The 15,681-nt window shown below is 39.0% G+C and overlaps 1 pseudogene; it reads left to right on the plus strand.

Moving 5' to 3' along the window:
• Nucleotides 14,305-15,429, plus strand: ARPP19P2 (ARPP19 pseudogene 2; annotated as a pseudogene).

Below are 15,681 nucleotides of genomic sequence, written 5' to 3' on the forward strand. Positions count from 1 at the left end.
CAGGACCTTAAGCAGGTGAAGAAGAGTGAGAAGTGTTTGTGGGAAGGAGAGCTACAGGAGAGTAATTTTACCCTCGATTGGCACTTACATGATGGACAGGATTGTAAAGTGTACCTTTTTATCAGGGGATAAGATCCCCTCTTATAACTGAACCCAGGTTTGGCCGCTCGCCACTCAAAAGGCAAACTCAAGAGACAAGAGTTGGTGAGAGGAAAAGCAGGTTTGTTCAGGAGCTGACAACCTGAAGAGATGGTGGGCTAGTGTCACAAAGACCATCTCAAGTTTCCCAAGCTGGCCAGAGGGTTTTTATAGGAGGGAGGATATGGAGAAGCTTTGTGCATGGGTTGACTATATGTGGGTCAGTATATCTAGTCTTGATGACCATCTTGAGCAATGAACCGTCTGCTGGTCTGGCTGGCACCAGCTTGACTGCAACAGGAATACACATTAACTGCTCAGCATTCTTCCCAAGGTGAGATATTCTGCAACCTTAATTCTGTGCTTAGTTTTTCAAGGCCAGTTTTTGGAGTTCTTTAAGCAGAGCATATAAATAGCTTTGCTATTCATAAAATGAAGAGGAAAAAAAAGGAAAACAAAGAAGAATAATTGTTTTTCAAGATAGGGTGGTAGTTTCTGTTACACTCTCACTCCGCTAGAAAACAGAGACATTTTGGTAATGAGATTTGTATTATCCAGAACAAAAGATCCAATAATATGGTGGGTTAAAGAACAAATAAGTTTTTCTCTCTAGCTTGCAGTCTGTATGTAGATGGCCCAGATTGGTGGAGCAGCTCTATTCTTTAAGCCGTTCAGGAGAGCAGGGCCCTGGAAATCATTGCCTCACTCTACCCTGTATCATGAAGGCTGGGTTTCCACCAGTCTGTGCTCCAGCTTGGTGACATGCATGCAGAATGACTTAAGGCCCAGGCCTTGAAAGGGCAAACATTACTTCCCTCCCATGGAGATAAATCAGCAATAGGGTCACACTCAGGAAGTGTCCTAACTGGGTGGCCATGTCCAACTACAACCCTGTTGCCTTAGATTTAGAAGAAGAGAGAGGGTCTAAAGGAGATGGGTTCATGGCCCAGTGACTGTAAGAAGAGTTGGAGATGTGGAGCTGCCCTGGGAAGCCAAAGTGAGGGGCTGTGTCTGCTGAAGAGATCCTGGGTGAGGGAAGACAAACTAAGCAGTCAAGAGATTCCATTCCTGAACATTCTTGTGACTATTCTCCGAAAGGGTGAGAAGGGATGACTGGAACTTTCAGTAAAGAACTGTTTTGAAATTATTTTGGGGCTGGGCATGGTGGCTCACACCTGTAATCCCAGCACTTTGGGAGGCCGAGGCAGGTGGATCACTTGAGATCAAGCGTTCAAGACCAACCTGGCCAACATGGTGAAGCCTGTCTCTACTAAAAATACAAAATTAGCCAGGCATAGTGGCACACACACCTGTAATCCCAGCTACTTGGGAGGCTGAGACAGGAGAATTGCTTGAACCTGGGAGGCGGAGCTTGCAGTGAGCCAAGATCACGCCACTGCACTCCAGACTGCGCGACAGAGCAAGACTCTCCAAAAAAAAAAAAAAAGAAATTATTCTTGATCCTGAGTATGTGAGTGACTCATTTACAATTACATGAACTGTTCTTCCGTCTTCCACCATGGGGAGGGGCCATGGTGCTGGGGCTGCGCTTCTCTACTCCAGCTTAGTGAGGAGGAGATTCTCAGCAAGGGCTCTGTGGACCCACACGAGGTCGATTTCCCTGAACGTTCTCCTCTGGTAACCTAGACTTTACTCTTGCCCCCGTACTACTCGTATAATTTCTGATCTGAGTCTGTCTTCATTTCCACACATTTAAACACCATGAGGGCAGGAATCCCAACGTTCTAGGTCAGTGCAGTGCACAGAGTTCTTAACACATGCTCAACACATAGTAGGTACTCAGTTAATAACTACAAATTGAATTTCTATGAGGCCCTCTGAATTGCTGCCAAACAGGAGAATGGCTTGGATTGACACGAAGGAAGAGGCTGAGGTCTTATGCAGGTCTTATGCAGGAAACACTCCAGGGTTTCAGAGCCACCTCAGGGCTTTAGGCAGAGCATCTGACCTTCCCAGGTCTTGCCTGCAGCAGACTCAGCACTCCAACCAGCCAAGCACTACTGGGAGCTCAGGCTGACAGCCCAGCCTAGCACCTGAGTCACTGGGATTCCTCAGAACAGACCCATCCCATGGACCCATGCAGTGCCCACGAACACGGTCACTGCACATGCTGCCAGCTGCTACGGCCTGCACTGAAGAGGAGATTAGCACTATCCCCTCCCCACCCTGGAATCCCTATCCACCCTCCCACCGCCTCCCTCTCCTCCACCACCCTCAGATCAGGAGGAAGTCTCTCTTCATCTCTGCAGTCTCATCTCTGGACACTGCGTCTCATTTCCTTTCTGTTCCCTGAGAACTTCCCTGGGAAGGAGATGGGGTTGGAGAGGCTGCCCAGTCTCTACCACACCTTGAAGGGAGATCTTCCTCACTGCCTTAAGTATTTCCAGATCAAGTGTCCTTCATCCTCCCCTAAATGTCCACTTCTTGGGGGCTCATTTCTTCTGGTTAATCCATCCTACATCCCCTCAGTTCTGTCATCTAAGGCCATCCTGGCTGTACTCCCTCTTTTCTTGAGTGATGTGGCAATTTGTTCACGGTCCACCTCTCTTCATGGCCTGTGCCATCCAGGTTAGCCTCCATGACCTGTGGATACACCTCTGATACTATGGCCTTGGACTTCTTGATCTCACCAATAGAGCCTTTCCCCGCTTCATTCTGGTACCCACTGGCTGTCTTCCCAACCTCAGGGCAAGCCTCTTGAAGACAGGGGCTGCACCTAATTCATCTTTAAGTTCTGAGGACTTAGAACAGTGTTCACCTGAGAGAAGGCTCTTGATAAATGTTTGAGTGAATGGATGAATAGATGAACATGTGAAAATGAGTGCCTAGTCCACATTCGAGGTATTGAAGTAATATACTAGCTTAATAATTCAGACAGACAAATTAATCAAGTCATAAAGCTCCTAACAATAGTTTGCCTTAAGTATGTGTGCAAGTTCCTCAGGTGGAGAATATTAGTATTATTAATAATTTTAGCGATGGTAATTTGATTAAATGAAAGATTACTGTGCTTGATTCATGGCTGAGAATATTTGGTCTTTATGTGGGATTGTTACAAGAAATACCTAATGATGTGGGGAGGTGGGGTAGGGACTTATTTGAAATGAAATAAGAAGCAATCCTTGAAAATTTAGTCTTTAGAACAGAGCTGAGAGTCATCTGCCACAGTTAGAAATGGTTTGAGGATATGCTTCTGTGGCTCACAAATGGTTGCACCAAGAATCAAGTCCTGTGGGTTCCTTTCTGTCACCTGAGATCTAAAACTGGTAATCAAGTCAAATAAATATATTAAAAACAAACATACTAACAAAAAACATCACCACTAACCCCTTCTTCAAATACAGGACAAAGGGGTTATTTTTCTTCTGCTAAAGTTTAAGCAGACAAAGGCCATTTAGGGATGAGGCTGTAGTCCAAAAAAACAACATTTTTCAATTTAATGTAGCTAGGGTGGGCACTCTGGAGGAGCCAGAAAATTGCTGCTTGGTAAGTGGGAGAAGATTTGTTTGTTTGCTTTTTCCTACTTTTATTTTCAATTCAGGGATATATGTGCAAGTTTGTTACATGGGTACATTGCACGATGCTGAGGTTTAGGGTACAAATGATTCACTCACCTAAGTATTGAGCAGTGTTCCCGATAGTTAGTTTTTTCAACCCTTGCCCCCTCCTTCCCTCTTCTAGTAGTCCCCAGTTTCTATTGTTACCATCTTTATATCCATGTATACCCAATGTTTAGTTCCCACTTATAAGTGAGAACATGTGACATTTGGTTTCTGTTCCTGCATTAAATTGCTTAGGATAATGGTCTCCAACTGCATCCGTGTTGCTGCAAAGGACATGATTTCATTCTTTTTTATAGCTGCATAGTATTCCATGGGGCATACATACCACCTTTTTTTTATCCAGTCCACCCTTAATGGACACCTAGGTTGATTTCACGTTTTTGTTATTGTGAATAGCACAGCAATGAACATGTGAGTGCATGTGTCTTTTTGGTAGAATGATTTGTTTTCTTTAGGATATATACCCAGTAATGAGATTGCTGGGCTGAATGATAGCTGTTTTTAGTTCTTTGAGAAATCTCCAACTGCTTTCCACAGTGGCTGTGCTAATGTACATTCTCACCAACAATTTGTAAGTGTTCCCTTTTCTCCACAGCTTCACCAGCATCTGCTGTTTTTTGACTTTTTAATAATAGCCATTCTGACTGGTGTGAGATGGTGTCTCATTGTGGTTTTGATTTGCATTTTTCTGATTAAGGATGTTGAGCATTTTCTCAGATGTTTGTTGGCCACTCGTATGTCTTCTTTTGAGAAGTGTCTGTTCATGTCTTTTGCCCATTTTTTAATGGAGTTATTTGGTTTTTACTCATTCCATTGTTTAAGTTCCTTGTAGATTCTGGATATTAGACCTTCATTGGATGCATAGTTTGTGAATATTTTCTCCCATTTTGTGGGTTGTCTGTTTACTCCCAATAGTTTCTTTTGCTATGCAGAAGCTCTTTAGTTTAATTAGGTTGAGAGGGAGGAGATTTGTAAAGTCTAAGCTCCCACTGTAGACTCTGATTGAGGGTCTGAAGAAGCAGGATCAGTCCTGTGCCAGCTGCTGTTTCTTGTCACTCAAGAGGGAGTTGTTATGGCATTTTCCAGCTGCAGCATGACCTTGGGAGAAAATGGCATTATTTGTGATCATTGCAACTGGCTTTATCTGAGCCTATTCTCCCAGCTGGATTAACGGCTGAGCTGCTCTTACTTTTTTCAGTTCAAACTTCTTTTTACTCTTTAAGTCCTGCATAGTTTTAACTCTTTCAGTTAACTGGATTTAGTCAAATGTTAAATATTCCCTTTCAAATCATGTTAAAGCTAAATGTCCACATCTCCCTCTGCCACTGATCATGAACCACACACAGGATCAAAGGCCCTGCGTATCCTAATTAGGCCATATGCAGAATAACTGTAGGGTGGTTCATTAAAACAATTGGAACGAATAAAATTCCAACTAAAATCAGAGGTGACTTATTTCCAGCAAAAGTGGAACACCTACCTGCTGCATCATGACCAGCTTCTCATGACTGATTATCTCTAATAAGGTCCTAAAGCATTCACTAAGAGAAAGTACTTATGTGCTCTTTCTTTCTCATTTCTTAAAAAAGAACCTAGAAAATCACTTAGAAGTTGGGCATATTAGAAGCCCAACTATTAGAGCTCATAAAAAAAAAACACTCTACTTCAGTGGTTCTCCAATGTTAACCTGCTTCTGAAACATCTACAGAGGTCACTAAAACCCAGAGTGCTACATTCCACTCATAAAGATTCTGATTCATTAGCTCTGGAGTGGGACTTAAGAATCTGCATTAAAAACAAGGTCCTAGGTGATGCTGATGATGCTTGTGAAAGCACCACACTCTGGGAATCACTTCTCTAACTCAGATCCTCTTCAGTATTTCTAACTTCCACACTTTTGCACTTTCTGTTTTCCTGCTTGAAATGCCCTCCCTGCTCTCCACTTAATGATTGCTTGCCTTAATTTAAATCACACATGACACATCCTTCTTTGGCCATTGTATTAGTTATCTATTGCTACATAACAAAAGGCCTCAGGGAAGGACCTCCAGAATGGTAGTGTGAGGTAACCAGGAAAACCACTCCTTGAGAAACGTCTATTTATTTGGTCAAAATCAGCAAACACAAACACTTAAAATCTCTGGAGATTGAGCAAAAAGTTTATAATAAATTGAGAAGAATTAATTCCGTAAAATCTGTGGAAACTCAGTAAGAACAGTGGAAGCTGATGGTATTCAAGCTAGGGACTGCATCTATCTCCCTACAGCCCTGTCTTGTGGGAGAACTCTTCCAGTGGGCCCAGCAACCAAGTGGCAGTTCACATAACCCTAGCTCCCTTGGTAGGAAGAGCTCTTCAAGGAGGTTTTGGTAGATAGTGAACTTTAGCAGATTGCATTTTTTAAAAATCGTGCTGCAGAAAGCCTATCTCAAGTGGGTGGTGGTGGCTGGGTGGCACCTATTCCTTTACCCTCAATTCCCACTATGTAGAGAGGATCCTGGCAGGGCAGCTGTTGAAAAGAGTAACCTCATTTCCAACTGAGCTCTCTAATGTGGCAGAGCTGCTCTGGTGGGCTCAGCAGATGCATGGCAACTGCTATCACTCCCAGATTCCTAGGGCTGGAGATCTATTATGAGCAGATTTGGAACAACCAGTGAATTCCAGCACATCTCATTTTCCAGGACTCTGTGCAGCAGAAGATCTAATAGCAACAGCATGGGCACTAGTTTTCAGCACTCTCTCCTCAACCCGTGACACACATCTTCTCCATAGGGAGGACCCAGATTGGAAAGGCAGAGTTCTCCACCCCTCTCTCTAGCTCCTGCTTTATAACATGTATAGCACAGAGGGAAGTCAGAGAAAGCCTCAAAGACAGGCAACATCTTGCCTTTTCTAAAGGGACTTACTTCAATTGGATCAGACTATGAAGCAATTTAAGCTCCAGGGTGTTGTCAAAAACAATAATCACATAGTCAGTTTAATGAGATCCACCAGAAACTTAATGAGAAGATCAGGAAAGGAGACAGTAAAACATACTACATTTGAAACCACAGTAATCCCCAGTGGACAGAAAGACTATATTACATGCCCAAGTAACACCTGAGGAATTACATCAGACTCCATAGATTGTGGAAAAACTGGACTTCATTGAACTAGGCCAGCCAAGTTGCTGAACAAGTAAGCAAGAACAATTCGGGTTGGGGGAGAGATCAATATCCAAAGTGGCTACAATGTAACATCTGAACTGTCCCGTTTTCAATAAAAATTATAAGAAATGCAAAGAAACAGAAAAATGTGACACATACACAAGGGGAAAGAAAACAGGAAATAAAAACTGTCTTTGAGAAGGTCCAGACGCTGGAACTGGCAGATAAAGAACTTCAAAATAACAATTATAAATATGTTCAAAGATATAAAGGAAAGCATGCTTAAAGATTAAAGGAAGGTCTGAGGCCAATGTCTCACTAAATAGGAAATATCGCCCAGGCATGGTGGGTCAGGTCTGTAATCCCAGCACTTTGGGAGGCTGAGGTGGGCAGATCACAAGGTCAAGAGATCAAAACCATCCTGGCCAACATGTTGAAACCTCATCTCTACTAAAAATACAAAACTTAGCTGGGCGTGGTGGTGTACACCTGTAGTGCCAGCTACTTGGGAGGCTGAGGCAGGATAATCACTTGAACCTGGGAGGTGAAGGTTGCAGCGAGACAAGATTGCGCCACTGCGCTCCAGCCTGGCAACACAGCAAGACTCCATCTAAAATATATACATATGTATATATATGTATATGTATATACATATATGCCAATATAGATTTTTTCTTGAAACCCAAATAGAAATCCTGGAGTTCAAAAGTACAATAACTGAAATGAAAAAATCATCAGAGGGGCTCAAAAATAGATTTATGCTGACAGAAAAAAGAATCAGTGCACTTTAAGATTGATTGACATAAATTATGTGATTTGGTGAATAAAGGCAATAAAATCGTGACAAAAAATAAAAAGACTAAAAGAAATATAGGAGACCATTAAACACATCAACATATGTGAAATGGAAGTACCAAAAGAGTGGGGGGAAAGGAGGAGAAAAAATGTTCACAAAAATATTGCCAAAAATTTCCAAAATTTAATGGAAAGCATTAACCTACACAGCTAAGCAGCTCAATGAACTCCAAGTGAGATAAAAATCAAGGATCTCTATCAACCCTGTTAAGCATATTCACAATGTTAAAACACAAAGACAAAGAAGAAAACCTTGAAATTAGCAAGAAAAAAAAACGAATCATCATGTACAAAGAAAACCCAAGATTGTCAGCTGATTCATTGTCGAAACAATGAAGGTGGAAGCCAATGGGATGGCATAGTCAAAGTGCTGAAAGAAAAATCAGGTCTAAGAGAACTACAAAACACTGCTGAAAGAAATCATCAATGACACAAACAAATGGAAATACATCCCATGCTCATGGATGGGTAGAATCAATATTGTGAAGATGACCATACTGTCAAAAGCAATCTACAGACTGAATACAATTCCCATCAAAATACTATCGTCATTCTTCACAGAACTAGAAAAAAAAACTCTAAAATTCATATAGAACCAAAAAAGAGAACCTGCATAGCCAAAGCAAGACTAAGCAAAAAGAACAAATCTGGAGGTAGCACATTACCTGACTTCAAACTATACTACAAAACTATAGTTACCAATAAAATGGGCATGTATAAAAATGGGCATGTAGACGAATGGAACAGAATAGAGAACCCAGAAATAAAGCCAAATATGTACAGCCAACTGATATTTGACAAAGCAAACAAAAACATGAAGTGAGGAAAAACACCCCATTCAACAAATGGTACTGGGATAATTTGCAAGCCACAAGTAGAAGAATAAAACTGGATCCTTAATTCTCGTTTTATACAAAAATAAGCTCAAGATGGATTAAAGAATTAAATCTGAGACCTGAAACCATAAAAATTCTAGATAACATTGGAAAACCTCTTCTAAACATTGGCTTGGGCGAAGAGTTCATGACCAAGAATCCAAAAGCAAATACAACAAAAACAAAAATAAATAGATGCGGTCTAATTAAACTGAAAAGCTTCTGCACAGCAAAATAAATAATCAGCAGAATAAACAGACAATCCAGAGTGGGGAAAATATTCACAAACTATGCATCCAACAAAGGATTAATATCCAGAATCTACAAGAAACTCAAACAAATCAGCAAGAAAAAAAACAAATAATCCCATCAAAAAGTGGGCAAAGGTCATGAATAGACAATTCTCAAAGGAAGATATACAAATGGCCAACAAACATATGAAAAAATGCTCAACATCCCCAATTACCAGGGAAATGCAAATTAAAACAATTTTAATTAGATAAAATGAGATACCACCTTGCTCCTGCAAAAATGGCCATAATTTAAAAATCAAAAAATAATAGATATTGACATGGGTGTGCTGAAAAGGGAACACTTTTACACTGCTGGTGGGAATGTAAACTACAACCACTGTGGAAAACATTATGGAGATTCCTTAAAGAACTAAAAGTGGAACTACCATTCCACCTAGCAATCCCACTATTGGGCATCTATCTAAAGGAAAATAAGTCATTATTATAGGAAAAAGACATTTACGCACACATGTTTATAACAGCACTAATTTGCAATTGTAAAAATACGAAACCAGCCTAAATGCCCATCAATAAATGAGTGGATAATGAAAATGTGGTGTATATACATACCATGGAATACTACTCAGCCATAAAAAGAAACAAAATAATGGCATTCACAGCAACCTGAATGGATTTGGAGACCATTATTCTAAGAGAAGTACCTCAGAAATGAAAAACTAAATATTGTATGTTGTCACCTGTAAGCGGAAGCTAAGCTATGAGGATGCAAAGGCATAAGAATGATATAATGGACTTTGTGGACTTCAGGAGAAGAATGGGAGTAGGGTGAGGGATAAAAGATTACACATTGGGTATAGTGTATACTGCTCAGATGACAGGTGCACCAATATCTTAGAAATCAGCACTAAAGAACTTATCCATGTAACTAAAGTAAGAATGATGATGATGATGATGATGATGATGATGATGATGATATCAGCAAGGAATCCTATGTCTAGAAAAACTATTTTTCAAAGATAGATATAAAATAGGCAGAGCACAGAGGATTTTTAGGTCAGTGAAACTATTCTGGATGATATTACAATTGTGAATACATGTCATTATACATTTATCAAAACCCATAGAATGTACAACACCAAGAGTGAACTGTAATGCAAACTATGGACTTTGGGTGATAATGATGTGTCAATGTAGGTTCACCAGTTGTAACAAATGTACCACTGTGGTGCAGAATACCAATAGTGAGGGAAGTTGTGCATTTGGGGACACAGGGGTATATGAGAACTATCTCTAATTTCCATTCAATTTTTCTGTGAACCTAAAACTGCCTAGAAAATAACGTTTATTAATTTTTTTAAATGCAGGTAAAATAAAGAGATTCTAAAATAAACAAAAACTGAGAGAATTTCTTCTGATCAGACCCATCTTACAAGATACATTGATATGGTTTGGATCTGTGTCCCTGCCCAAATTTAATAACAAATCATAATCCCAAATGTTAGAGGTGGGGCCTGGTGGGAGGTAATTGGATCATGGGGGTGGTTTCTCATGAATGGTTTAGCACCATCTCCTTGGTGCTCTTCCAGGGATAGTGCGTGAGTTCTTACGAGATCTGGTAATTTAAGCGTGTAGCACCTTCCCAACTTCTCTTGCTCCTGCTCCTGCTATGTAAGACATGTCTGTTTCCCCTTCCCCTTTTGCCATGATTGTAAGTTTCCTGAGGCCTTCCCAGAAGATGAGCAGATATCTGCCCAGCATCATGCTTCCTATACAGCTTGTGGAACATGAGCCAATTAAATCTCTTTATCAATTACCCAGTCTCAGTATTTCTTTATAGCAATGCAAGAACAGACTAATACATACATTACAGTACATTCTTCAGGCTGAAAGCAAGGGAAACAGACTGAAATTCAAACTCAGACTAAAAAAACAGAGTACTGTTAAAGGTAACTATGTAGGTAATTACAAAATAGAGTATGTTAGAATAGTTCTCCTTTATTCTTTTAACTTATTTAAAGACAATTACATCAAATAATATTATATAATAGTACCAACAAGCCTATAGCATATAGAAACATAATATATTTAATAATAATAGCACAAAAGAGATCAATGGGAATAAAGCTGTATTATTGTAAGGAATGATACTAGATGCTAACTGGAATCCACAGGAAGAAATTAAGAGAATAAGAAATGGAAAATAAGAAGTTCAATATAATGAGCTCTATATATACATTCTCACTCTCCTTTCTATTCCTTTCTACTTAGTTTTTAAAAAGGCATTAAATTACACAGGGAAATAATTATAAAAATGTATGGCTGAGTCTATAACATATATATAGATTCAATACGTCTAAAAATAATAGCACAAAAGGGAGAAAGAGGAAATAGAAATATATAGAAGCAAATTTTCTAAATGTCACTGAAATATAGTTGTCAGAAATCTGAGGTAAGTCTGTTAAGATATATACTGTAAACAACTACCGAGAGACACTTACCTAGAGTGATCACAAAGAAAACAACTAAAGGAATTAAAATGGTTACTATAAAATATTCTCTTGGCTGGGCATGGGAGCTCACACCTGTAATCCCAACACTTCGGGAAGTCAAGGCAGGTGGATCGTTCGAGGCCAGGAGTTTGGGTGGGACCAGCCTGCCCAACAAGGCAAAACTCCATCTCTACTAAAATTACAAAAATTAGCTGGGCATGATGGTGCATGCCTGTAATCCCAACTGCTCAGGAGGCTGAGGTGGGAGAATCATTTGAATCCAGGAGGCAAAGTTGCAGTGAGCCAAGCTCGTGCCACTGCATTCCACCCCACCCTGGGCGACAGAGCAAGACTATGTATCAAGACATAGTCTTTCTTTCAAAAGAAAGACTTTTGAAAGACTTTTTGCTTTCAAAAGAAAGACTTTTGAAAGACTTTTTGCTTTCAAAAGAAAGACATATTGCTTTCTTTCAAAAGAAAGCAATAAAGGAAGACCTGAAAAACTAAAAAGACATGAGATATATAGAAACAAAAAGCAAAAAGGTAGAGGTAAATCCAACCATATTAATAATGATATTCAATTCAAATAGATTAAACAATTTCATCCAACACAGAGATTGTCAAATAGTATTTTTAAAAATTCAACTATATGCTAGCTACAGGAGACACACACTAGACTCAAAGATACACATAATTTAAAAGTAAGAGGTTGGAAAATGGCATATCATGCAAACAGCCACTGTAAGAGAGCTGGAATGATTACACTAATTATCAGACAAAACAGACTTTAAGAAAAAAAGTATTAGTAGAGAAAAAGTGGCTGTTTTATAATGAAAAGTGTTAATCCATCAGGAAGCTATAGCAAATGTAAAGACATATGCATCTAACAACACAGTTCCAAAATACATGAAGCAAAAATGGACAAAATTGAAGGGATAAATAGACATTTCAACAGCAATAGAGATTTTAATATTCCACTTTTAATAATGAATGAAACAACTAAGCAGAATATCAACAAGGATATAGGAGACTTGAGTAACACTTTAAACAATATAGACATAAAAGAGGTCCATAGACATTCCACCCTCTAACAGTAAAATCACATTCTTCACATGGAACAATCTCCAGGGTAGACCACACGTTAGTTCAAAAAACAAGTCTCAGTAACTTTAAAGGAATTCCTATTATACAAGGTATGTTTTCTGACCATAATGGAATTAAACTAGAAATTCATAATAGAAGGAAATTTTAGAAATTCACAAATATGTAAAAACTAAATAACATACTCCTAAGTAACTGATGATTCAAAGAAATTTGAATAGACATATAATGAATAAAGAGATTGGATTAATAAATTTAAAATGTTGGCTGGACGCAGTGGCTCACGCCTGTAATCCTAGCACTTTGGGAGGCCGAGGCGGGTGGATCACGAGGTCAGGAGTTCAAGACCATCCTGGCCAACATGGTAAAACCCCGTCTCTACTAAAAGTACAAAAAAAATTAGCTGGGCGTTGTGGTGCACGACTGTAATCCCAGTTACTTGGGAGGCTGGGGCAGGAAAATCGCTTGAACCTGGGAGTCAGAAGTTGCAGTGAGCTGAAATCATGCCACTGCACTCCCACCTGGTGACAAAGCAAAACTCCATCTCAAAATAAAATAAAATAAATTTAAAACTTCCCACCAAAAAAAACACAGGTCCAGATGGCTTCACTGGGGAATTCTATCAAACATCTAAATAAGAATAAAAGTCATTCACAGACTCTTCCAAAAAATATAAGAAGAGAGAACACCTCCCAATTCATTCTATGACACCACTATTACCTTGATACCCAAACCAGACAAAGATATCACAAGAAAAGAAAACTACAGACTAATATCCCTTATGATTACAGATTTTTAAAATTTCCATAAGATGGTAGAAAACCAAATCCAGGTCTATCTAAATAGGATTATACACCATGATCAATGAGATTTATCCCTGGAATGCAAGGTTGGTTTACCATCACAAAATCAATCAATATCCACCATCCTATTAATAAAGGACAAAAGTCACAAGATCAATTTCATCAATTCAGGAAAAGAGCATTTTACAAGATCCAATATCCTCCTATGATTAAAAGCTATCAGCGATGTAAGTAATTAAAAGAAATTTCCTCAAAAAAAGACATCTACAAAAAACTCACAGCTATGCAATGGGGAAATAATGAATACTTCTCTTTAAAGTGAGGAACAACACAATAATATCTATCTTCAACATTTCTATTCAACATCAAACTGGAGGATCTAGCCAGGGCAAGTGAGCAAGAAAAAGAAATAAAAAACATCCATTTTTCTCGTTCCAGAACAAGACAGCATAGAATCACACTTTCTCCCCTCTAAATGCTACTAGATGCCCTGGAAATTATGATAGGCAATGCTAAAGGGACTTTGAATGTTGGAAAGAACAAGATAGACTGGCTAGGAACTATATGACTTGAGGAAGTGACACCATGGAGAAGTCCCTAGGTTTTATTTTTATTTCTCATTTACTTCTGGACTGGACACTGGAGAAACCTACCCAGAAATGTGCATAGGCATAAACATAAATTCTGAGAAAAGCCTTAACTCTACCCAAAGGATCAGGAAATAAGAAGTCTAACAAAGACCTAGTGAGAAGCCTCCATCCTCATTCTGTAACCAGGGCACTGGTAAGCTGGCCAAGCCACCAACAGCAGTAGCAAAGTCCTGGGCCATACAGCCACATCTACACCACCAGAACACTGGTGGGCAGCTCAATCCATCAAGAAGATATTGCAATCCTAAATGTGTATACATCAAAAAACAGAGCTTCAAAATATATAAAGTAAAAACTGAGAGCTAAAAGAAGACAGACGAATCCATGATTATAGTTGGGAAATTTAACACCCACTCAGAAATTGATAGAATTACTTAACAGAAAATCAGTAAGAGTATAGGGAAACCGAACACGACAGCGAGTGGGAGAAGCGAGGTCTAGTAGAGGGAGCACTATGTCTGTGGAAGTCTCCGAGGCAGCCTCTGTGGAGGAGCAGAAGGAAATGGAAGATACAGTGACTAGTCCAGAGAAAGTTGAAGCAGCAAAATTAAAAGCAAGATATCCTCATCTGGGACAAATGCCTGGAGGTTCAGATTTCTTAAGGAAACGATTGCAGAAAGGGCAAAAATATTTTGATTCTGGGGATTACAACATGGCTAAAGCAAAAATGAAGAACGAGCAACTTCCTACTGCAGCTCTGGATAAGATGGAGGTCACGGGTGACCACATTCCCACTCCAGAGGACCTTCCTCAACAGAAACCATCCATTGTTGCTAGCAAGCTGGCTGGTTGAAAGAACTGAACTGCATGAATCTGCTAATTCCCATTATTTCTCCTTATTATGTTACTTATCTACTTTTTATTTCCTTTCATTACCCCATCATTTGAGACTGACAGCTTTGCAGGTGAGCAGTAGTGTGTGCTGCTATTGTGGGATATACATGTGTAGAGTTTTTGATTAGTTTAACAGTGCACTGGTGAAGAGGACGTGTTAGAGCAACATAAGTAAGTAATCTACTTGAAAATAATTGTATATATTACCTAACTCCTAGTGTAGTACTGGTTCTAACAAGTAACAAGCAAGTTTTAAAATTTTAATGTTTTGGCTTTCATTGCTTCATCTTAATTATAGCTTTGTATGTTACTCTTATTTAATATAATCTCTATTGTATTGATTTCTTCTGTATTTTGGATTTTGTAAAACAGAAGTTTAAGACCACAAGTTAGAAGAAAGGTCACATATTTCAAACACAACTAGATGGGGATCCAAAAGATTTCTATCTCTGTGCTTGAACTAGAATCGCCTTAAACCTGTTTCAGTTTTAACAGTAGAATTTTACTTGGGCAATATTTGCCCATTCTGGTGTAACTTATGTGACTCTAGTGCTTAACAGCTGCCATTGAAGCTAATATTCTTATTCAGTTCTGTAAAGTTAAAATACCTTTTGTTGTTGAAGATGTGAATAAACTATGCATGTGCATTGACTGTTGGATTCACTTTTGTGTCATTTTTGTAAATACAATATTTTTGCACAAAAAATTAAAAAAAGAATATAGGGAAACTGAAAAACATCATCAATCAATAGAATCTAATTGATGTTTATAGAACATGCCATTCAACAGTAGCAGGGTGTGAAACACATGAAATATTCACCAAGACTGACCATATTTTGAGTCATAAAACAAACCTGAACAAATTTAAAAGACATGAAATCATACAGAATAAATTCTCTGACCATAATGGAATCAAACTAGAAATAAATAATAGAAAAACATACACAAAAATTA

The sequence above is a fragment of the Homo sapiens genome, chromosome 2 (genome assembly GCF_000001405.40).
Source record: "Homo sapiens chromosome 2, GRCh38.p14 Primary Assembly".
NCBI classification, from domain to species: Eukaryota; Metazoa; Chordata; class Mammalia; order Primates; family Hominidae; genus Homo; species Homo sapiens.